Raw genomic sequence first — 20,938 nt, forward strand, 5'->3', positions numbered from 1 at the left:
GAGGTTGCACCTTTGGGAGATTATTAGGTCAAAAGGGTGGAGCCTCTATGAATGGGCTTAACATCTTTATAAAAGACACAAGAGAGCTTGCTTCTTCTCTCTCTGCTGTCCACCATGTGAGAATCCAACGAGAAGGCAGTCATCTACAAACCCTCACCAGAGGGAAAAGGGCCCTCACCAGACACCAGATCTGCCAGCACCTTCATCTTGGACTTCCTAGTCTTCAGAACTGCAAGAAATACACTTCTGCTGTTTAAGCTACCCAGTCCATTGGTATTCTGTTAGGCCAGCCTAAAATGACTCAGACAACTCTAACACGATCAAAACATGGAAGTCACTCTGCCTTTAATGTTTAGTGGCAAGATTTCTCAGTCTCTTAGTTTACCACAAAGTTATTCGTTTTATTGATTAACATGTGGCCATATTTTGATACCATGTGTTTGAGGCTATAATGATGCAATATAATTTATCTGCTTTTTAAATGATTTGAAAAAAAAAACCTTTACTTTTAGGATTAATTTAAGTTTCAAAAAATAAAGTAACTTGGTCATAGAGGGCTTGTAAATTCACTATAAGTTATATATAATATAACTTGTGTGTACATATACATACATAAACCTAGCCATATGCCTGGCCCATAATTTAGTGACTATTACTTAGCTTCACAAGAAATATGTATGATGATCTCAACAATCTAGAAAATCACTCTGAATATCTATGTCATACAACACAAAAAGTACTATTAATAAAAACAATATTAAAGTAAGTTTGAACTTTCAACTTTATTTTTGTCTATGTGAGGTTTCAGATGCAGTTATCCTAACTCCTCACCAAGAATCATCTTTAAGTCTAATTACTTGTTCAATTTCTCTCTGCCCAGCTAGATTGTAAATTCTGGAGGGCAAAAATGCTCTCTTCTTATTCAGAATTGTCTCTGCAGCTTCTAGATTAGTATCTGGAGCATTGTAATAATATTTGTTGAATTGAATTGCATTAAAGACCATCTGCTTTTCATTTTAGGAGCTCATAGATTATAGGGGAAGCAACAGTTGAAGAAATAATTTTAATCAAAGTAAATAAGCATTTTCATATGAGTATGCATAGAGTTAGTTATGCGACAAATAAAGAGCTAGGGTGACAGAGTAATTCACTAAGAATGCCACTGGTGACCTGAGTCTTGATGAATGATTGGGGCTATCCAGGCAGAAGGGTGGGCAAGGTATTCCAATCTAAGGATCATACTTGATTCTCAATAACTGGAAATGAAAAAAGATCTCCTTTACCTTATTCTCTTTCTCATGTAGTCAAAGACTTGAAAAATGTTGAAAATATTTCTTTCAATCACATACGATTCAGGAAGATGCCAACATGCCCAGATGGATGGTTTTCAGATTCACACTTTGGAAACACATGGTGCCTCTCTGAGGCAATTGTGTACTGTTTCTTTTAAAATAGCAGAAAGCATATGGGAACAGGATTGGATCTGTCAGCTACTATCAAAAGAATAGTGAAACTTTTAAAATAAATTAAATCAAAACCTATAAAGTGACAAAATTTTATCATATTTTGAAATTCTGAAGTTTTACATCTGAAGATATATATGTCCATTTAAAAGGAAAAAATCTACTTTTTCATATAAACCACAATCCCTGCTAGAGCTGCAAAATCTGAGGCCAAACGAGAGACAAGGTGAGTGAAATGAGAGAATGCGGAGGAATTACATTCATTGGCAGTGGAGTATTTCTACTCTTCACCCATGTTACAATTTTTTTTTTTCTTAAGCAAAGCATATCTAGAACAATTTGTATACTTTCCTCCAATGTCTCTGCTTTCTTTTGTTAAAATAAACATATAAACAAACAAAAAACTCAAATTTAATATACGTAAAAGCATCTGCTTTCGTTTAAGTAATTTAGGCGTTACAATTGTCTGTTGCAGATTTATAACAGCTTTGTTTGAAGGCATCTCTCTCTATATCCTATTACTTCCTTTTAGCAAGCATAAAGCTGGGTGGTTTCCCATGAATTCTAACCACAGTGCTTTCATGAATGAATTTTATAACCAGGTCAAATCTTCCTAATGCTAGACTCATAACCCTACCCCACACTGTTTTCCATGGCAACCTATTTTTCCCCAAATTATTATTATAGGATTTGGGATGATTAAACATCAAAGAGAATGATTTCATAGAGCTGAACCTATGAATTAAAGGAGCTTTAGATACCAAACCTCTATTTTAAGAAAATATTTTTTTTCAAGGTGGATGACTTCCTTTGCCTTTTATCCATGCAGGGTCCTTGATCCCAGATAAAGTAAACAGTCTGCTAGTGGCTTTGAAGTCATCTGCTATCCTTCATTCAGAAATGTGCATTATTCTTTTTGACACCCACGTGCATAGAACTTTGTTTCCAAAATCTGTTACATGCCAATATGAATTTGTCAATATTAATTCTGGAATGCTCATATAAGTTTAAAACTATCTGTCATTCTTATTTGTTGACTTCTGGGATAGGTGTTATGGAGGCATTCCAAGAAGAATCAGATACATATCATGCCCTAAAGTTCCCCTATGTTAGGGGAACTAAGTTGCACAAGTAACTATATCCCAAGGAATAAAGTGATAAGTACCATAATAAAGACACAAATGAAGTTTATAGGAGTTCAGAAGAGGAATAGCTACTCATAGGTGTTTAGCATTCATAGACATTTGGCTGATTGTTCTTTGTGGGGTATTCAAAAACATCCTTTGACACCATCAAAATGTGTTGGTCAAAGTCAGGGTGTCAAATGTCCACAACTAGCACATTAGGTTTTATATTTCTACATGATATTAAATCATCATTATTATCATTATCATCCTCACTTATTTTCAACTATTCTATACTCTATTATAACTACAGGCAAAAGTAGAAAGTGATTAAGAAATCATGTGGACTTTATTTTTTATGGTTTTTAAAGTGGAATTGCATGCATTTTAAGTCCTATTTGTATGTAGCTGAAAATCCAATAAAAGCATTTTTAAAAATTAATTTTTTAATATTGCTTTCAACTTTAGAGGCGCAGTGTTCTCAACATAGAAATGATGTATTTGGGGTTATTAACATGGTTTGGATTTGTGTCCCCATCCAAATCGCATGTCAAATTGTAAACCCCAGTGTTGGAGGAGGGGCCTGCTGGGAAGTGATTGGATCACAGGGGCAGATCTCCCCATTGCTGTTCCCGTGAAAGTGAGTGAACCCTCCCAAGATCTGGTTGTTTAAAAGTGTGTAGCACCTCTGCCTGCTCTCTCTTCCTCCTGCGCCAGCCATGTAAGAGGTGCCGCCTTCTTTTTTGCCTTCCATCATGATTGTAATTTTCTGAGGCCCCTCCAGCCATGCTTCCTGTACAGCCTGCAGAACCATGAGCTAATTAAACCTCTTTTCTTTATAAATTACCCAGTCTCAGGTAGTTCCTTATAACAATGCGAGAACAGACTAATACAGTTATTAATGTATAAGCTCTGTGTTTTCAAATTTACTGTTCTAAATTGAATCAGAAACTGGAAACCTTAAAACCTAGTATGATAGGAAGCTGCCTAGCTCTTAACATAACTTAAAAATATTGAAGTCATGTTTATTGGTTAGTAATTTATTTGTATTGTAGCAATTTGAGATGTTTCCTAAAGCAATGTTGAGTAGAAAAGAAGCAGTAGAATTATTATCAAAGGAACCAAGATAATAGTTGGAGAAATGAGCTTTGAGATTGCATGACAAAGTAAGGAAGGAAATGGAAGAATAAAGCCTGAAGGTCAGTAGTCGAGAGCAAAATCTCTTTTGGTGAACAGACTGAGAAATTAGTTCAGAATAAGGAGGTTTTAGTTTCTCTCTTCACATAATGTCTGACTCATTGACAGGGCAGGCATGGTAACTTGAAGGAGTTGTAACTTTGGGTCTATCTTTATTTAGTTTCTGAATAGATACACTACAGTCTTACCACCAAGTATTTATATTTTAAGTAATAATTAATGATCATCCAGTATTCAGGCCAAGTTTAGGCAGCTGTTATTCTATTACCATGACTCTGTAAAGGTATCACCTCTATTTTCTGAGTTTCTAATTCAAATCATAGTGATGAGTAAATCTGTAAGTTGTAGGCACTTGCCAAAAAATAAAATTAGTCTTAGTGCAATGAAGATTTGATATCTAAATCCCAACAGAAAATAAAATATGCTCCACAGAAAACATATGCTTTGTCAATTAAAAAACAAACAAACCAAAAAAAAAATATATGAGCATTTAAACACTAATTTCTAGCAATTGTGCCAAAAACAGTTCAGCCATGCATGTTCAATTATAATATATTCATAATGCAATATCATAAAGGAAACACATGCTAATAAATAAGCTTGTTCACCATAAGTAATGTCTTAATTATCTGAGAAGTAGATGAACTCACTCACATTTAATAAATTTACCTTAACATCAATGATTTCTTTGCTAAGAATTCTGTTTTTGCCCAAAGTGGTGTCACATTCCATAGGTTTAAGCTCCCATCTTAGAGCAGGACCAGGAAGCCAAGTCTCTTTATTTCCAAACATATTGGTGTCTAGGTAGTAAAAAATAATAAGTAAAATTAAGTAAACCTTTTATTATCAGCAGGATTAATACAGACTTCCAGGGAGATGGTAGCTGAATATTTTGCCCCCTTCCTCCCATTTGTGCATCCCAAAGTCACTAACAGGCTTTGGTGGAAAATCACCTCCGCTGTTCCCCTGCTGGTGCGACCACTGTGATGAGACAGAGCCTTGGACACCCAGTGGTCAGTTTGCTGTACCTGCACACCTCTGTCTTCCAAAAGTTTATTTCCTCCTGTGTTCCCAAATGGCTGCTGTATCTACAATATAACATGCTACATTGTGGTGAGTAGTGAAGTCAATTTAAATTTCCCTAACTGAATTGTGAATCCTTTGGGAGCCAAGTCTATTTCACTTTCTCATTTTCAAGACCCTTGGGACAGTAGCTTGCGTATTGTGAATAAAAGAGGGTAGTGGAACTGCATTACTATTGACCCTGTTTTAAGCATTTGCCAACAGTATTGTTGGGGTATCATGAGGGAGACATGAGCTCGTGAAGCGAGCTTAAAGAATTTCCCACAAAACCTTTGCAAGCTTAGTAAGCTGACTGTCTCTTTTGGGTGTGGAGCTACATTAACCTAGCTCAAGAAACCAATACATAAAATAAAAATGTCAACATATTACCTTACACTAAGAAACTTACATCTCAGCTCACATTTCTTAGAATGTCTTTCCATCAGATTCAGCTACCACATGGTAGAAAAGTAGAAAGGTATTTGGTTTTTTTTGTTTGTTTTTGTTTTTTGTTTTTTGTTTTTCATCAGTGTGTCACTCTGTTGCCCAAACTGGAGTGCAGTGGTGCGATCATGGCTCACTGCAGCTTCAAACTCCTGGGCTTAAGCAATCCTCCCAACTCAGCCTCCTGAGTAGCTGGGACTATAGTCACGTGCCACCACCCCCAGCTAATATTTTATTTTTTATTTATTTATTTTTGTAGATACAGGGTCTCTATATTGTCAAAATCTTCCCACCTTGGCCTCCCAAAGCGTTGGGATTACAGGCATAAGTCACTGAGCCCGGCCTCAAGTGTTCTTTACTAGCAAGACTGGCTGACATTAATAGGAACAGGCAACATATTACTATAATTTAAGTTTAAACTGCATGGTTCCCAGGAATCCAACTCATCTCTTAGGATTGTTTCCAAGGAGACACTATCAATTATGGTTTGAAGGAAACAAAAAATTTCCAAAGAAGAAAGAGCTTTTATAGGAATTTAAAATTTACTCATTTGGTCTCTTTTAGCACAACTGTCTACCTAAATTAATGAGATTTGTCTTATTTGTTGCTTAACTGAGATTTTATTCTATTCAAGGGAAGTTAATGACCTGAAGAATGGACATCTTTCCCAACATGATAGACACATGCAGGCTTTTATTTTCGGATAAATAAAATTTTAAAAAAAATTGTCTTCCACGAAACTGGTCCCTGAGACCAAAAAGGTTGGGGACTGCTACACTAAAGAACCTCGGTTTAGGCCAGGAGCAGTGGCTCACGCCTGTAATCCCTGCACTTTGGGAGGCCGAGGCAGGTGGATCACCTGAGGTCACAAGTTCAAGACCAGCCTGGCCAACATAGAAACCCCGTCTCTACTAAAAATACAAAAATTAGCTCGGTGTGATGGTGCACACCTGTAGTCCCAGCTACTTGGGAGGCTGAGGCAGGAGAATCGCTTGAATCCAGGAGGCAGATGTTGGAGTGAGCTGAGATCACACCACTGCACTCCAGCCTGGGCAACAGAGCAAGACTCTGTCTCAAAAACAAAAAAAGACCAAAAAAAAAACTTTGGTCTAATGGCCACAGAGGCTCAGTTTGCAGTTAATATCTAGCACAAGTTGGGGCCAATCATACCTTCTCTCCTGGGAAAAATAAGGCTGGGAATCAGAAGTACCAGTCAATCTCTATCGGGGCTGCACTTGAGTGACATAAAGTGGGGGCTGTGTTGGTCATGTACATAGCATATCCCACATGTCAGAGATTCCCTTTTAGTGCCTAGCTAAGCACTTGATATACAATAGGAGCTCCTTTTCGTTTCCTTGTTTTTTGTTTTTGTTTTTGTTTTTTTAGTGAATACTAGGTATTAGGCAGTGCTAGAAAAGTTATATATATATTAATTCATTTAATTCTAACAGCAACACTATAAGGGATAGGTTTCACAGATGGACAAACTCAGTTACAGAGAAGTTAAATACCTTGCCCAAGACTAAGCGGCTAGCTGGTAAGTGGTAGAACAAGAGCCAGACAGCCTGGCTCCAAAGTCCAAGTTCTCAACCGCTATCCAGCTGCTTTTACCCAGAAGGGTAAGAAGAGAGGAAGAAAAAAAGAGGAGGAAGGAGAGGGAAAACTCATCCAATTTTTTTTAAGTCCCTCTACATCCACAGAGTTAACAGTAGTGAATTTCACTACTCGCAAGCAATACTGATAGTTCACCCTCTGCAGTGACTAAGACTTTGCTAAGGCCCAACTGAATGATGTCATGTGGCAGTGCTAGCACCCAGCATAAGGAAGGGGCACGACCCCTATTTCTACCTCAAATCAACTCTTTGATCTCTCAGTTCTCAGGACTCTAATACATTTTTTCTTTGTGTAATGACCACCAACTCAGAGACAAAAGTTGGAAAATGTTGGAAAGGAAGCTACTTTTGTGATGTAAGGATAGACATAGAAAACACGTTACTGTGAATGAAAATGTGATTCAGTAGCAATCCAGGAAGATTTGTGCCCAAACATTTCAGTATTTGGAAATTTGGTAACTGATTTCCAGACATAGTCCTGGAATGTCGAGGGTCTTACCAAGGTATCTCTTATTAGTCAATTAGCTTTGAATGCTTGGCATTTAGAATTCTTTCCTCCCATATGAGACTCGATGCTTTTAACTGAGAGTTTGGCAAACTTTGTAGGTGGAAAACTCAAGTTACTTTTTTACTCATTTTACATTTGAAGTTTTCCATTCAAAAAGAAAATAATAAATGGCACAAAAATCAGATCCAAGTAGCCTAAGATTAAATATGAATAATTTTAGAGAAATGATAAAATTATATTAAAATGGATTTCTTTGTTTAGATATTATTTTATTGTACTCAGTAATTTTATGGCTTTGTGGGGAGGCTCTAGGCTAATGTTACAAAGAAACACACAATGCTTTTCAATAGCAACAAGTAACGAATCTGTAAACTAAGAAATGTTTAACCATGAAAAACATTAACTTTCAAATATGTATAAATGTTAACATAATTAAATTTAAAAAGTAACAAAACATATTTACAAGGACACACTAGCCTAAACTCAGAGTCACTATGAGACCGAACAATCCCCTACCCGACCTCCACTCAAACGCCCCCCGCCACACACAAACACACACACAAACATAGGCTATTATTTGCCTAACACCATGTAAATGCCAAGTGAACCAACTTGTGAGTCTCATTGTTCAAAGTCAAGGGCCTGGATAGATATCCATTTTCCTTACGGAACTGGAAGGAGATGAGCATAGAGTGAAAATGCATGTGTGTCCTGATATAAATCAAAGACCAAAGAAGAAAGCTAGGTTCAAAACCCAGGAAGTAAATTTAAAAATTTTTTGTCACAGTAGGACAGTTCTCTGTTGGGCTTCCCTATTGGGAATCTTACAAAAAACCTGGAGAAATCTCTTTTTAGATGTCAAGAATGTACGTAATTAAAACCAACCAGGCTCTAGTTAATTCTGTGATACTACAAAACATATTTTATCATTAGTGATTATTCCAGGTAAGAAATTAAGCTGGCAAAGCTCAATTTATGAGAAATGCATCAGAATCATTAAAAGAATCTTGTGATACAAATTTCCAGTCTACTGGAAAAGGGGAGGTTTTGTTTGTTTGTTGTTTGTTTGCCAGTTTAATCCCTAAAGCTTTGGGATATTCAAAATCAAATTATACACTAATGGTTACTTCTTTTCACATAGGCACAAGGCTTATGTAAGATTTTTATTTGGTGGGGGGCATCCTATAAACCCCTAAAACCAAAGAGTAATTTTGAAACTAACAATAAGAATCATGGATCATCCAACTGCAGATGTATTTCAATCTTCCCTGAATTGGATTTGGACTAGTTGGCCTCTTAAAGTGTTTCCTAACCTATCTATGTTTCCAGTTTTCAATGATAGTACTGATAGTACACTGTTGCTATTCTAGAAAATATTTTTTTGAAGACTGGTCCATTATATTTTCAATTTGGAATTTTATTTTATTTTATTTATTTATTTATTTATTTATGGCCGAGTCTCTCTCTGTCACCCAGGCTGGAGTGCAGTGGTACTATCTCGGCTCACTGCAACCTCTGCCTCCTGGGTTCAAACGATTCTCCTGCCTCAGCCTCCCAAGTAGTGGGATTACAGGTGTCCGCCACCATGCCTGGCTAATTTTCGTATTTTTAGTAGAGATGGGGTTTCACCATGTTGGTCAGGCTGGTCTCAAACTCCTGACCTCATGGTTCACCTGCTTCAGCCTCCCAAAGTGCTGGGATTACAGGCATAAGCCACTGCACCTGGCCTCAATTTCGAATTTTAATATCCAAAGATATAACTCACCTATATTAAAAAGAGATTGTCTTCCTATACAATATATTTACAGAAATTTGTATCACAAGATTCTTTTAATGATTCTGATGCATTTCTCATAAATTGAGCTTTGTCAGCATAATTTCTTACCTGGAATAATCACTAATGATAAAATATGTTTTGTAGTGTCACAGAATTAACTAGAGCCTGATTGGTTTTAATTATGTACATGCTTGACATCTAAAAAGAGAGTGAGGAAAAAAAGAGAGAGAAAAAGAGAAATTACAAAAACACAAAGCTCTTGTTAATTCACATCTTAATGTCTTCTTTCCAGACCATACCTGGAGTTCTAAACAGCCCTCAATTTGACACCTACTTTCTGGGGTTACAGACAGTTGCATTCCTTAAAACCAGTGACAGTCACAATGAAAGAGAAAAGATTCTCAGGAGGAAGTAGCTGTCAAGGATGGCTAGACTGGAAATTTTACTTATCTTGACAGCAGTTTTGACTGTAATGGATTAAGCTCCAGGATTAGTGTTTGCCTACTTTTGCCTTTTCCTCCCCTCTTCCTGGTTTAAGCAAATGTCTGGATCACTATGATGTTGTTCTATTGTCTGGATGTGGTTGTCACAACTGGGAGGGGGATGCTAATGGCAGCAAATGAGAGGAAGTCGAGACAAATACTAAACATCTTACAATGTGCAGGGCAGCCTCCCTCAAAAAGACTAGCATGTCAGTAGTGCCAAGGTTGAGGATCCCTGCTTAATTCCCACCTTACAAAGAGCAGAGCATGTGTGTGAACTAAGAACAATGTTTATTTTGTGATTTAATAGAATGCCTCAATTTGTGCTCTTGTCATAATATAACTCCTTTAAACATGAAATAAATATACAATGTATCCTTCTGTATATGAAAGATTCTTCTGTGCTTAAAATATTTTCTCCCTGGGTGATAAATAAAATTAAGAATCTCTGACTCAGGCATAAGGTGAGTGAAAATTGCTTGCCACTGTTGGATAATAATAGTAATCTGCAGCTAATAAAGTCATTCTCAGCCTCAGCTGTACATTATGATCACCTGGGGAGATTTTGAAAAGCAGTGGCTCCAGGGCTCTAACCCTTGGAGATGCTGGTTTAATTGGTCTTAGTTTGGGCTTGAGCTTGAGTGTCTTTGGAGCTCACCAGGCAGTTTTAACGTAAAGCCAGGGTGGAGAACCACTGAATCTATCTAGCCTGTGGGCACCATTGCAATGACCATAGATTTAGAAATTCAGCTGAGGGCTCAGACTGGGACTCATTCTGGTAATTAGCTAGGTAAATAAAGCAGTTTCAGTAATTTGCCTTGATACTCTAACCTTATCCGTTTCCTCTGAGTGACTGAGGTGTGGAGGGTGAACCCCAGAATCTCCCCAAAGTCCATCAGTACCTGCTAAAGGCTGTGTGAAGGACTCCCGCACAGAATCTGAACTCTAAGCATGTAAAAGCAACACTATGAATGCTAGGTGTCCACACTGCTAGCTTTCCATGAGTGTTTATCCTTTCTTCACATTGTTATTTTTATACCACATGAAGTAGGGATTGGGACCACCTCAGCTCTTGCCTATTAACTGCTATCTCAAACAGTACCTTTTCAGCAGGGAAGATGGGATGCTATCTGAAACCAAAACATTAGGGAAAGCAAATATATTTTCAAGCGCTAGTGTTTCTTCTCCTCTTCCCCAAATCCCCTGGAATGAAAAGGATGGCTTTTCCCCTTTGCTTTATTTTCTTCCTTCCAAAGGCAGGCTTCTAGGCTAAATCTTAATGATAAATGTGGATATTTTCTCTCTAAATTTGGATGATTCCATGAGGGGGGTCTTCCCGTCACTGTTGTTCAAATATTAAGACTAGTGTGTGTGAGTACTGCAGGAAGGAATTAGATGAAGTAGGGAATGATCAAGGAGCTTAACAAATACTAGCACCACTCTTCACAAAGCCCACCTTTTAAAGCCCGTTGCTTTGCTGTAGGATCAGAGCCCTGTGTAATCCTGCACTGAAGTTTTAGGTTATGGCTCAGCCTTGAAATGATGCAAAGGAAATTTTACATAAAAGGAAAAATTTTAATGGATTGGTTTTATATTTATAAAAAATATTATCCTGTAATAAAAACATGTATATATACTGATGTTGAGTTGATCTAACTCAATAACTGTAGGGAAGCATACTTGTTCATTATCAATTCAGGAAAAAGGCCAAGATATTTAATAACAGCTGTTTTATTTGAAACATGATTTATATCAAGCACAGGGATAACACATACAAATCTGAAATAAAGCAATACGGAAACATTACTGACTCCTGACAGCCCCAGTGAGTGTGGCTAGTCATTTAGGGCACCATGTTAGGGCAATCAGGCCATCTCAGGATCTATTGAAAGTTGAGGGAACCAATAGAACCAAACCAATGAGAGTATGCAGTTCTCTAATAGCCAGCTGATTCTTATTCTATTATATGCCCTAATTTTAAGACAACTGTCATTGGAAATCTTAGGGGAAAATGGGGTTGTGTAGAAGACTGTATGTTAATTATCATCACGCACTTTTATTCCTTCAAGTAATTGTTCTAGTTATACTTTATGGAATATTCAGCTAGAAGAGGTAGTCAACACAGAACATGGAATTACAGAGCTAAGGCTGGGAGCGGTGGCTCATGCTTGTAATCCCAGCACTTTAGGAAGCTGAGGCAGGTGGATCACGAGGTCAGGAGTTCAAGCCCAACCTGGCCAACATGGTGAAGCCCCATACGTACTAAAGATTAAAAAAAAAAAAATTAGCCGGGTGTGGTGGCACACACCTGTAATCTCAGCTGCTCGGGAGACTGAGGGAGGAGAATCGCTTGAGCCTAGGAGGCAGAAGTTGCAGTGAGCCGAGATAGCTCCATTGCACTCCAGCCTGGGCGACAGGTGAGACTCCGTCTCAAAAAAAAAAAAAAAAAAGAATTACAGAACTGAAGGGATCTGAGAAAGTGCTGGTCTAGTCGCAGACTGAGATCTCATAAATCCAAGAAAGAAATATGATTCTTTCAGTTCTTTCTCAAGACCTAGAGAAAAACGAACATCAAACTCCTCTAATAAACTAGTTTCTTGATAACCTTTTAGATGTGATGCATTTGGGTCCTTTTTGTTTTTTATTTGCCAATATCTGCCTCTGAACTGTGATAAATGAGAATATTAGAAAATCACTACAACTACAAACGTCAATGTTTTGAAGTCAGACAGATTTCAGTTTAAATAACAATTCTAGCACTTCCTAGCTTTTATCTTTAGCAAGTTTTTAAATACCTGAACCTCAAACTCCTCAACTAGACATAAGAATTGCTGTGAGAATTACAAGCAAGGCACCTGGCACCAACTTGGCCACAGAGCTGGCCCTCAGTAAACAGTAGCTACAGTGATGATTCACATGGCGTTCTTCCTTGCCCCCATGTTTACTTCAACTACCTCCCTTTCAAGGCTTTTCGTGTCCTCTGTTCCAATAATGGAAATGTGGTTTGACCATGCAGAAATCGGATTGAGGCAAATTATCCAACAAGGAGCTATAACAATAATCAGGGAAACTGGAGAGTGAGCGAGAAAAATATTAAACATCTTAGTTCATCAGAATAAGAAAAATAAGAGGATTGCTGGGAACCTCAGATTATGGTATTGAAACTATATCCACACTTAGTCCTTGACTTTCGAGACTGACTCTGCCATCGAACATTTGCATGGTTCTTAGAAACGATAAAAAATATCAATTTTGAATTTTCAGGGGAGGAAAACAATATTGCGTCTTTAAATGGGTTTGCCTTTTTTAGAATTTATCACTATGATTGGAATTCACTTTTTAGTTTTGTATTTCAATGTCATATGTTACAAGAAACACCTTTGTTAAGTGAATAAATTCCCTTTCAAATTTGAGATAATTTGTCTTCCAGACTTTATTAATTATACTAGGTTGATTGTTTATTTCATTTTTTGAGACAGGGTCTTGCTTTATCACCCAGGCTGGAGTGCAGTGGTGCAATCACGACTCACTATACCCTTGACCTCTCTGGCTCAAGCAATCCCCCTACCTCAGCCTCCCAAGTAGCTGGGACTACAGGCTTGTGCCACCATGCCCAGCTAATTATGTGTGTGTGTGCGTGCAAACGCATGCACACACACAAGCATGCACATGCATGCACAAAGATAGAGCCTCGCTATGTTGCCCAGGCTGGTCTTGAACTTCTGGGCTCAAGCAATCCTCCCTCTTTGGCCTTCCAAAGTGCTGGGATTATATATGTGAGCCACCACACCCAGTTAATTGGTTGATAAAACTAGGATAATAATACCTATCCCAAGCCATTATTGTTGTAAGGTTTAAATTAAATATTTAAGTGTATATAAAACCTGGCAGGTACTATCGTGCTTAATAAATGTTCATTTACTTCCATCGTCATATAATGTTACTCAACATAAGTAAGTTTTTTTACTTACTACAAATGTTTTGAAGAAAAAGGTAAAGAAATAATATTTCTTTAAATTGATAGTGCAAATTGTAGGTTTCTTTATCTTGCAAACTTTCTTTTAATTTAGAGCTACCGTTAACCTAAAGAAAATCTCTTAAGAGAGACACGGGGCTAAAATTTAGTGCTTTGCAAGTACAATATGCTTCAGTATTTGGGATTTGCTTTCTCAAGAAGTTCTGAGTACAAGTAACAAAATGTTTGGAAGCCTATTAACGTTCGGTTTGGATTCTGCAAAAAGAAGTAGGTTTCAAAACTACCAAAATATTCTAAATTACATCTATTTGGGGGCAAGAAAAAAAAATCTAGTTAAGTCTAGATTTTATTCTAAGAGGAAACTATTTTTTGCCCTTTAACGTAAGTCTCATAGGGATCAAAATGAAAGTCAATTTAGAGGAAATCTATTTGGAAACAAGCTGAATCCCACGCCCTGGGAGCAGGCAGTGCAGTCTCCACCAGCCCCGCCCCCAGGGACTGAGTGACCACAGTGTTTTAACCCTTCGTGGGCATTGTTCTGGAAACAGGAAAAGGACCCATCTTATTCCAAAAGGCAAGTTTCATATTTTAAATGAATTCAGGATAAGAAAAATAAGAGGGTTGCCTGTTGTTTTTGCATAGAAACTATATTTCTATGCAAACACTTCCAGCAGAACTTTTATTTTGGGTTTTAAATAAGAGGGAAGCATTGTTGGAGAGACACAGTGAAATTACTGTGGAGAATGTATAATGGCTTTGAGGCTGATTGGGAGAAAATGTGTCCAGTTCCTGGATCAGAAAAGATAATGGTCACCAAAAGTAGTTCCCAATATCTCATATAAGCAAAATGTATCTCAATTCAGGTACTGTAGGTCGAGGGGGAACAATGGGTAAATGTGAATGTCATGTCTTTAAAATTCATCTTGACTTCTGGATTTATGCATTTGAAAGAGCATTAGTGGGGTTAAGTACATTATAAGGCTAGGGGATTGGGACTGAATCTTTTCTAATTCTGCAGAAAATACAATTCCCAGAATATTTAAACATAAAAGTTAATGAGTTAACCATGAGAATAATAGCATAGAATTTTCCCTTTAATTTTTTATTACAATTTAACAAATTTTTTATTCGAAGCAAATAATTTTTAATAAATGAGTACATCTGAAAAATAAAGCAGTCAAGCATTGCTTTTTAGCGTGAATACATACCTATTCTAAAAACTGCCCTATGTTTGTTAAAATTGCAAAATAAATATTTTACAACCTGAAGATTATACATAAGAAAAGACTGAATAACATGATGGGGTCATGACTATGCTAAAATGTTGGCTGAAAATAGTAAGAAAGAAAATTCTACATATGGTTAAGGTCTCAACAATCTCTTTTTAAAAGATGTTGGAAGAAGCCTGGAAGAAAATCCACTAAAGTGTTCTTAATGGTTGCCTTCAAATGGTGGTGTCATGGTTGAATTTTTTCAGCTTTATGTTTCTATTTCCATATTTCATATAATCTGCATGCTTTATTTTTACAATCCTTAGGGGGAGTAAAACAAACTTTCCATGAAATTATAACATAGAAGTATTCATATTTCTATTTCATTAGAGATGATATTCACACACCAAAAATTTGCCAGCTTTCTCTCCTTTTCTTTTTACTTGCTAATTTACTCTAATCTTACCAGGATTTTTTTTTTTTTTACTTCTTCTTAATCTCAATGAGAATTTTACTTTGAAAGAAGGAGCTCTAACTTTTTTTTTCCTACTCTAAAACAGTGTTTGTACTTTTTTCTGGACTCCAAGTTGGATGCCTTCACCAAAGTGGTTTCAAAGACTGGAACAAAAAAGCCTCCATCGAGGCCCTGGCTAGCACAGTCCCTGTTACTTTAAGAGTAGCATTCCACCTCCCCCTCACACCCACATACTTGTCCTCTCTTTGCACAGCAAGTGCCAAGCAGTGACATCTACTATAGTTTCTAGGACACGATGGTCTCTGCTCTACAGGGAAAAAGAGCGAGCGGGACAGAAAGAAGGCGGGTGGTGAGGGAGAAGGAGCACAAGCCCAGCTATGTTCCCAGAGGAGGAGTCACTTCCTCGCAATAATCCTGAGATGCTGTTTATGGCTGTTCTGCTGATATGAAGCCTGGAGCCGCAGGATGCAGCCTCCCCCTGGCTGTCCATTAATCACGAGGGGCTGTTACAGAGTGTACAGAGTGGGAGTTCTGCCTACAAGTGGCCTCTAACTGTCTCCAGCTCAATGAAATGAACCTGTGTGAAAACTTGTTTTATGAGAGATTGGTTTATTTGTAACTAAACTACTTCCTCTGTTATTTGATAAGATCAAATATTTGCTACTGATAATCTGAGAGTGTCACATTTATTATCCTGTTTCAGCCGTTGCCTAACTCCTTTGGAACTGACTCCGTTAACTCTTTGAGGGACAGCAGTAGGTTTTAGAGGACCGGTTTCTATTTTCTTTCAGCAAAGCCAATGCTATCTTTCAGACACTGAGTCAGCATTATTTTAGAACAGCTATGACATGTGAATCAAAAAGAAGCCTTTCTCTTCCAAAACAGAAAGCAGACAACCATAGTAACAGGAGGCTCTGATAAATTCCCTGGAGGTTCTGAAGCCACCATGAAAAGGAAGGAAAGGTATTCTGACTTACTAATATAAAAATGGTTTTGCACGTGCTAGGATTTCTGAAATCACACATTTTCAATATGTTCAGGATGACTTTCTATAGTTTGTTAGACCCTCAAATATCTATGTGGGGCATGATCTCTAAATCCGGCAGCATTCTGCATCTTGACACTTGGCCTTTTGGAGTCTGAGCTCATTTGCATTTGGCAGGACTTGATTTCCTGCTTTGACAGAACGGCGGTAAGGTGGTGGTGAAAGCCTTTACAGTGCTCCCTCGAAGGGCTCAAAGGACTTTCTGGATATATAAAATTATGTTTCCAAGAATTAAATGGACCAGAATGAGGCAGATTTTGTTTGAAACCAGGCTCTGTTACATGCAACACATCTGAAAAACTTACTTACACTGAAGCATCTCTCTTGACAGACTCATACTGGGACTGTTTTTCAGTTCTCTCACTCTCCAATCAGCTACACAGAGCTCTCAGTGAATGTAGAAGAGGCTAAGGAAATAACCACTTACGTGTGGCAAAATGTTCCAGCCTTGCAGAGATTTTCCCAAAATCATTAGACCCACCAAAATGCTTTCCACTGGCCAGGTCCACACCTTCCTCGTCAGATTTTCCATACTCCTCCAGCCTCCAAGTACTGTCCATTTGTATTTCCTAAGAGAGCCAGTCATTTATAGCTGAAAATGTAACCAAGTTTACTCTCATAAACCAGAGATCTCCTTGACTGTTAACCAGAAAAGAAAAATACTGCTTCTCCTAACTCATTTCAAGACGATCAGAATATGAAGATCCATACATACCTACTTTCCCCAAAAAAGGAGGTGAATTTGGGGCAGCTACATTTTAAGGGCATATAGAGATGAAAATATAGAGAGGAGGAGAGCCAGGCAAATCAGCTGCTCCATCATGGTGAGCCGGGAAGAGGTTAAGGGTTAATTGCATGTATCCCACCTCTGGTCTCTTTTAGACCCTGTTCTCAGCAGGTGGCTTTCCTGCCTCACTGCCCCAACTGCTTATCAGTGGAACAAAGACTGGCCCTGAGTAATGGCCTGAATTGTCATCTGCAGTAGATTTAGATTCAGAAATAGTCAACTAATCATTTGAATAGATTTTGCTTTTTAGTTCTCTCATTCTTCATTTTTGTTTTTCATTTTTTAAAATTATAGAAAAAAATACATAAAATGGGATCTATACCCTTAACAAATTTTTAAGTGTGCAGTACATTATTGTTAACTCTAAGCACAATGTTGTACAGTAAAGCTCTAGAACATTTTTATCCTGCATGACTGAAACTTTATACCCATTGAACAGCAACTCCTTATTTACTCTTCCCCCATTTTCTGGCAACCGTCATGATACCTTTTTCTTTAATGACTTTGACTACTTTAGATACTTCATGTAAGTGGAATCATGCAGTATTTGTCCTGTGACTGGCTAATTTCACATCAAGTAATGTCCTCAAGTTTCATCCATGTTGTAGCATATGACAAGATTTCCCTGTTTTTATGACTGAATAGTATTTCATTTTATGTATATAGCCTGTTTTCTTTATCCATTCATTCACTGATGGACATTTAGATTATTTCCAATTCTTGGATATTGTGAGTAGTTGCAATGAACATAGGATTGCAAGTATCATATATTTGATAAGGAGTTATATTTAAATTATATAAGGAACTCCTACAACTAGTAGCAGTCAAACACATAGCTAAATTAAAAAGTGGGCAAGGCCAGGTGTGGTGGCTCATGCCTGTAATCCCAGCATTTTGGGAGGCCGAGGCAGGTGGATCACCAGAGGATAGGAGTTCGAGACCAGCCTGGCCAACATGGTGAAACCCCCATCTCTACTAAAAATACAAAAATTAGCTGGGCATGGTGACAGGCACCTGTAATCCCATCTACTAAGGAGGCTGAGGCAGGAGAATCACTTGAACCCAGGGGGCGGTGGTTGCAGTGAGCCAAGATCGCACCACTGTAGTCCAGCCTAGGTGACAGAGTGAGACTCCATCTCAGAAAAACAAAAAAGTGGGCAAAGGACTTGAATAGACATGCCTTTAAAGAAGACATACAAATGGCCAACAAGTATATGTAAAGATGCTCATTGTCAGTCATTATCAGGGAAATGCAAATCAGAAACCACAAGGAGCTATCACCCCACACCTATTAAGATTGCCATTAATGGTCGGGCGCCATGGCTCACGCCTGTATTCCCAGCATTTTGGGAGGCCGAGGCGGGTGGATCGTTTGAGCTCAGGAGTTTGAGACCAGCCTGGCCAACATGGTGAAACCCTGTCTCTACTAAAAATACAAAAAAATTAGTTGGGCCTGGTGGCAGATGCCTGTAATCCCAGCTACTCAGGAGGCTGAGGCAGGAGAATTGCTGGAACTCGGGAGGCGGAGGTTGCAGTGAGCCGAGATCGTGCCATTGCACTCCAGCCTGGGGGCAAGAGGAAGACTTTGTCTCAAAAAAAAAAAGAAAGTAGCAAGTGTTGATGAGGATGCAGAGAAATTGAAACTCACAGGCACTGTTGGTGTGATTGTAAAATGATGCACCTACCATGAAGAATAGTATGGAGGTTCTTCAAAAAATTAAAAATAGAACTACTATGTGATCCAGGAATCCCACTTCTGGGTATTTATTCTAAAAAACTGAAATGAGGATCTTGAAGAGATCTGTACTCCCATGTTCTTTGTAGCGTCTTGGGGTTGTTTGTTTGTTTAGGAATTCAGTCCATGAAGACCTTACATGGTGTAAAAGTGAAGTGAAGTGAAGTGACGATGGGATGAAAAAGGAATGGAATTTGATTCAGAGACCTAGGCTTAGTTGAAACTACAACCTTTATGGAAAGTCACATCCTTCTATTATAAGAATTAAATGAGCTAACTCGGATAAGAGTTTTATAACCTGTAGAGCATTATACAAATTTTGTTGTCACTTGAATGAGCAAAACATTAATTCTGCTTATTCCTTCCCTTTCATAAAATTAAAAAACAAAACACTCTAGAATTTGAGTTTTCTTGTTTTATCAATTCTGGATTAACTGAGTAATAACTAACTTTTCATATCTTTTTTTTACCGTTCAGACACAACGGTATTTTACTGTTTTTTTTTAAAGTGTACAACAAAGTATTCATATGTGTTTATATGCATTATATATTAATATATTATCTTGGATGAGTCTTTTAAAAATTCTGCCGCAACCTTATGTAATAAATTTATTTTCAAGGTAATTTAAAAAATGTTTCTGTATTAAAAACATATTTGATAATCACTATTACTTAATCACTCACTCAGCCAGTGAGTCCCAAGTTTCAGGATAGAAAACTAATCAAGGTTGAAATCACTATAAAATGGAACAGAAAGTTCTGCTAATCAGGTTTTCTGGCATTACATTTCCACTGTTACCACCTGTGTTGGAAGGGAACAGGAGAGAAGGGAGCACAGTAAGTTAGTCTCCCAAGATGGTGCCATTTAATTCAGACTGTACTTTCTGCAGCTCTCTCGCGTCATCCATTTGATCACATTGCTTCTGTAGCTCACCATACCAAGTCAGTTCAGTAGCACAACAATGCTCATGGAACGTCAGGAGCCCTTGGTGGTGTAAACTATGTACAGCTGAAGTTAATTTTCTGCACACGCTCATGTTACTTGTTCACTTGGTAGTTCCTTCCAAGGGCTTCTAGCCATCCCTTGATTTCTTTTGCTCACAGTGTCTGATATATATTAGATACTCATAGAGGTTGTTTAGTTGTTGTAGTTACTCTTATATTTAACCTCATATTCATTTCTTTAGGATAAACCTGGCCTGTCTCAATTCTGGTGCTCCCCACATATGTGTTCTTTCTGGTCCATGATTATGGAGACTCAGGTTAATTGTTAAAATTTGGCAATAAACTTGACCTAGATTTGAATACTGGCTTTTCAATCTATAGCTCTGTGACCCTGAATAAGTTACTTAATCTCGTTGAGCTTTGAGTTCTTCATCTATAAAATGGGAATGACACCACCAATTGCAAATGTTTTGTGAAATTTTATGTAATGAGGTGTAAGTCTCTATTTTTTCCTTCTTTCTGAAATACATATCTTTTAATTAAAAAAAACAGATATTACAAAGAATGACACAAGATTCTGATTAAGATGAAATGGGAGATTTGAAAGAAGTTTTATACATGCTTTGGACATTCCTGAACTACATCTTCAGAGTGCTACAGATTCATTTTTATTTTCCTCTGCTATTTCAAGGGAAATTTGGGGGAGCACTATATATATATTATTTGGGATTTTTACCAACTGCAAGTGATGGAAACCTCAACTGAAACTTGAATTAAGTAGAAATGTGACTTGATGGTTCATATTGCCAAAGGTAGAATTCAGGCATAGCTGGCTCCAGAGTTTAAATGACAGCATACAGTAAGATCTTAATAAATCCTATTACTTTTGCTTAACAATCTTTTCATTTGCTATTTCTCCAATATAGATCAACTTATTCTCTCTCTCTCTCTCTCTCCTCAGACTATGTTTTCACTAAGAAAGTCCTCTAGTGTACTTAGTCCTCTAAGTGTACACGTAATCTTAGCAACTCTGATTCCCAGATGTCATCTTTTTCAAGTTTGGTTTGAATCCAAACTTTCCCCTACATGGTCCT

At 37.7% G+C, this 20,938-nt stretch overlaps 1 long non-coding RNA gene across 1 annotated transcript in view, besides 1 other annotated feature; it reads right to left on the reverse strand.

Annotated features, from left to right (window-relative positions):
• Nucleotides 1-4,498: 4,498 nt before the first annotated feature.
• Nucleotides 4,499-20,938, reverse strand: part of LOC105370275 (uncharacterized) — a 44,604-nt gene continuing 28,164 nt past the window's right edge. The window contains exon 3 of the long non-coding RNA XR_942116.3: nucleotides 4,499-4,584. This is a non-coding gene — a long non-coding RNA (uncharacterized LOC105370275). The remainder of the gene's footprint in view (nucleotides 4,585-20,938) is intronic.
• Nucleotides 15,754-16,253: an enhancer, noted in NCBI's record as "H3K27ac hESC enhancer chr13:80707181-80707680 (GRCh37/hg19 assembly coordinates)". NCBI's record gives its function as "activates a minimal SCP1, AML or CMV promoter by ChIP-STARR-seq in primed H9 embryonic stem cells {active_cell/tissue: H9 hESC(primed)}" and the evidence as "EXISTENCE:reporter gene assay evidence [ECO:0000049][PMID:30033119]".

The sequence above is a fragment of the Homo sapiens genome, chromosome 13, assembly GCF_000001405.40.
Source record: "Homo sapiens chromosome 13, GRCh38.p14 Primary Assembly".
Classification (NCBI taxonomy): domain Eukaryota; kingdom Metazoa; phylum Chordata; class Mammalia; order Primates; family Hominidae; genus Homo; species Homo sapiens.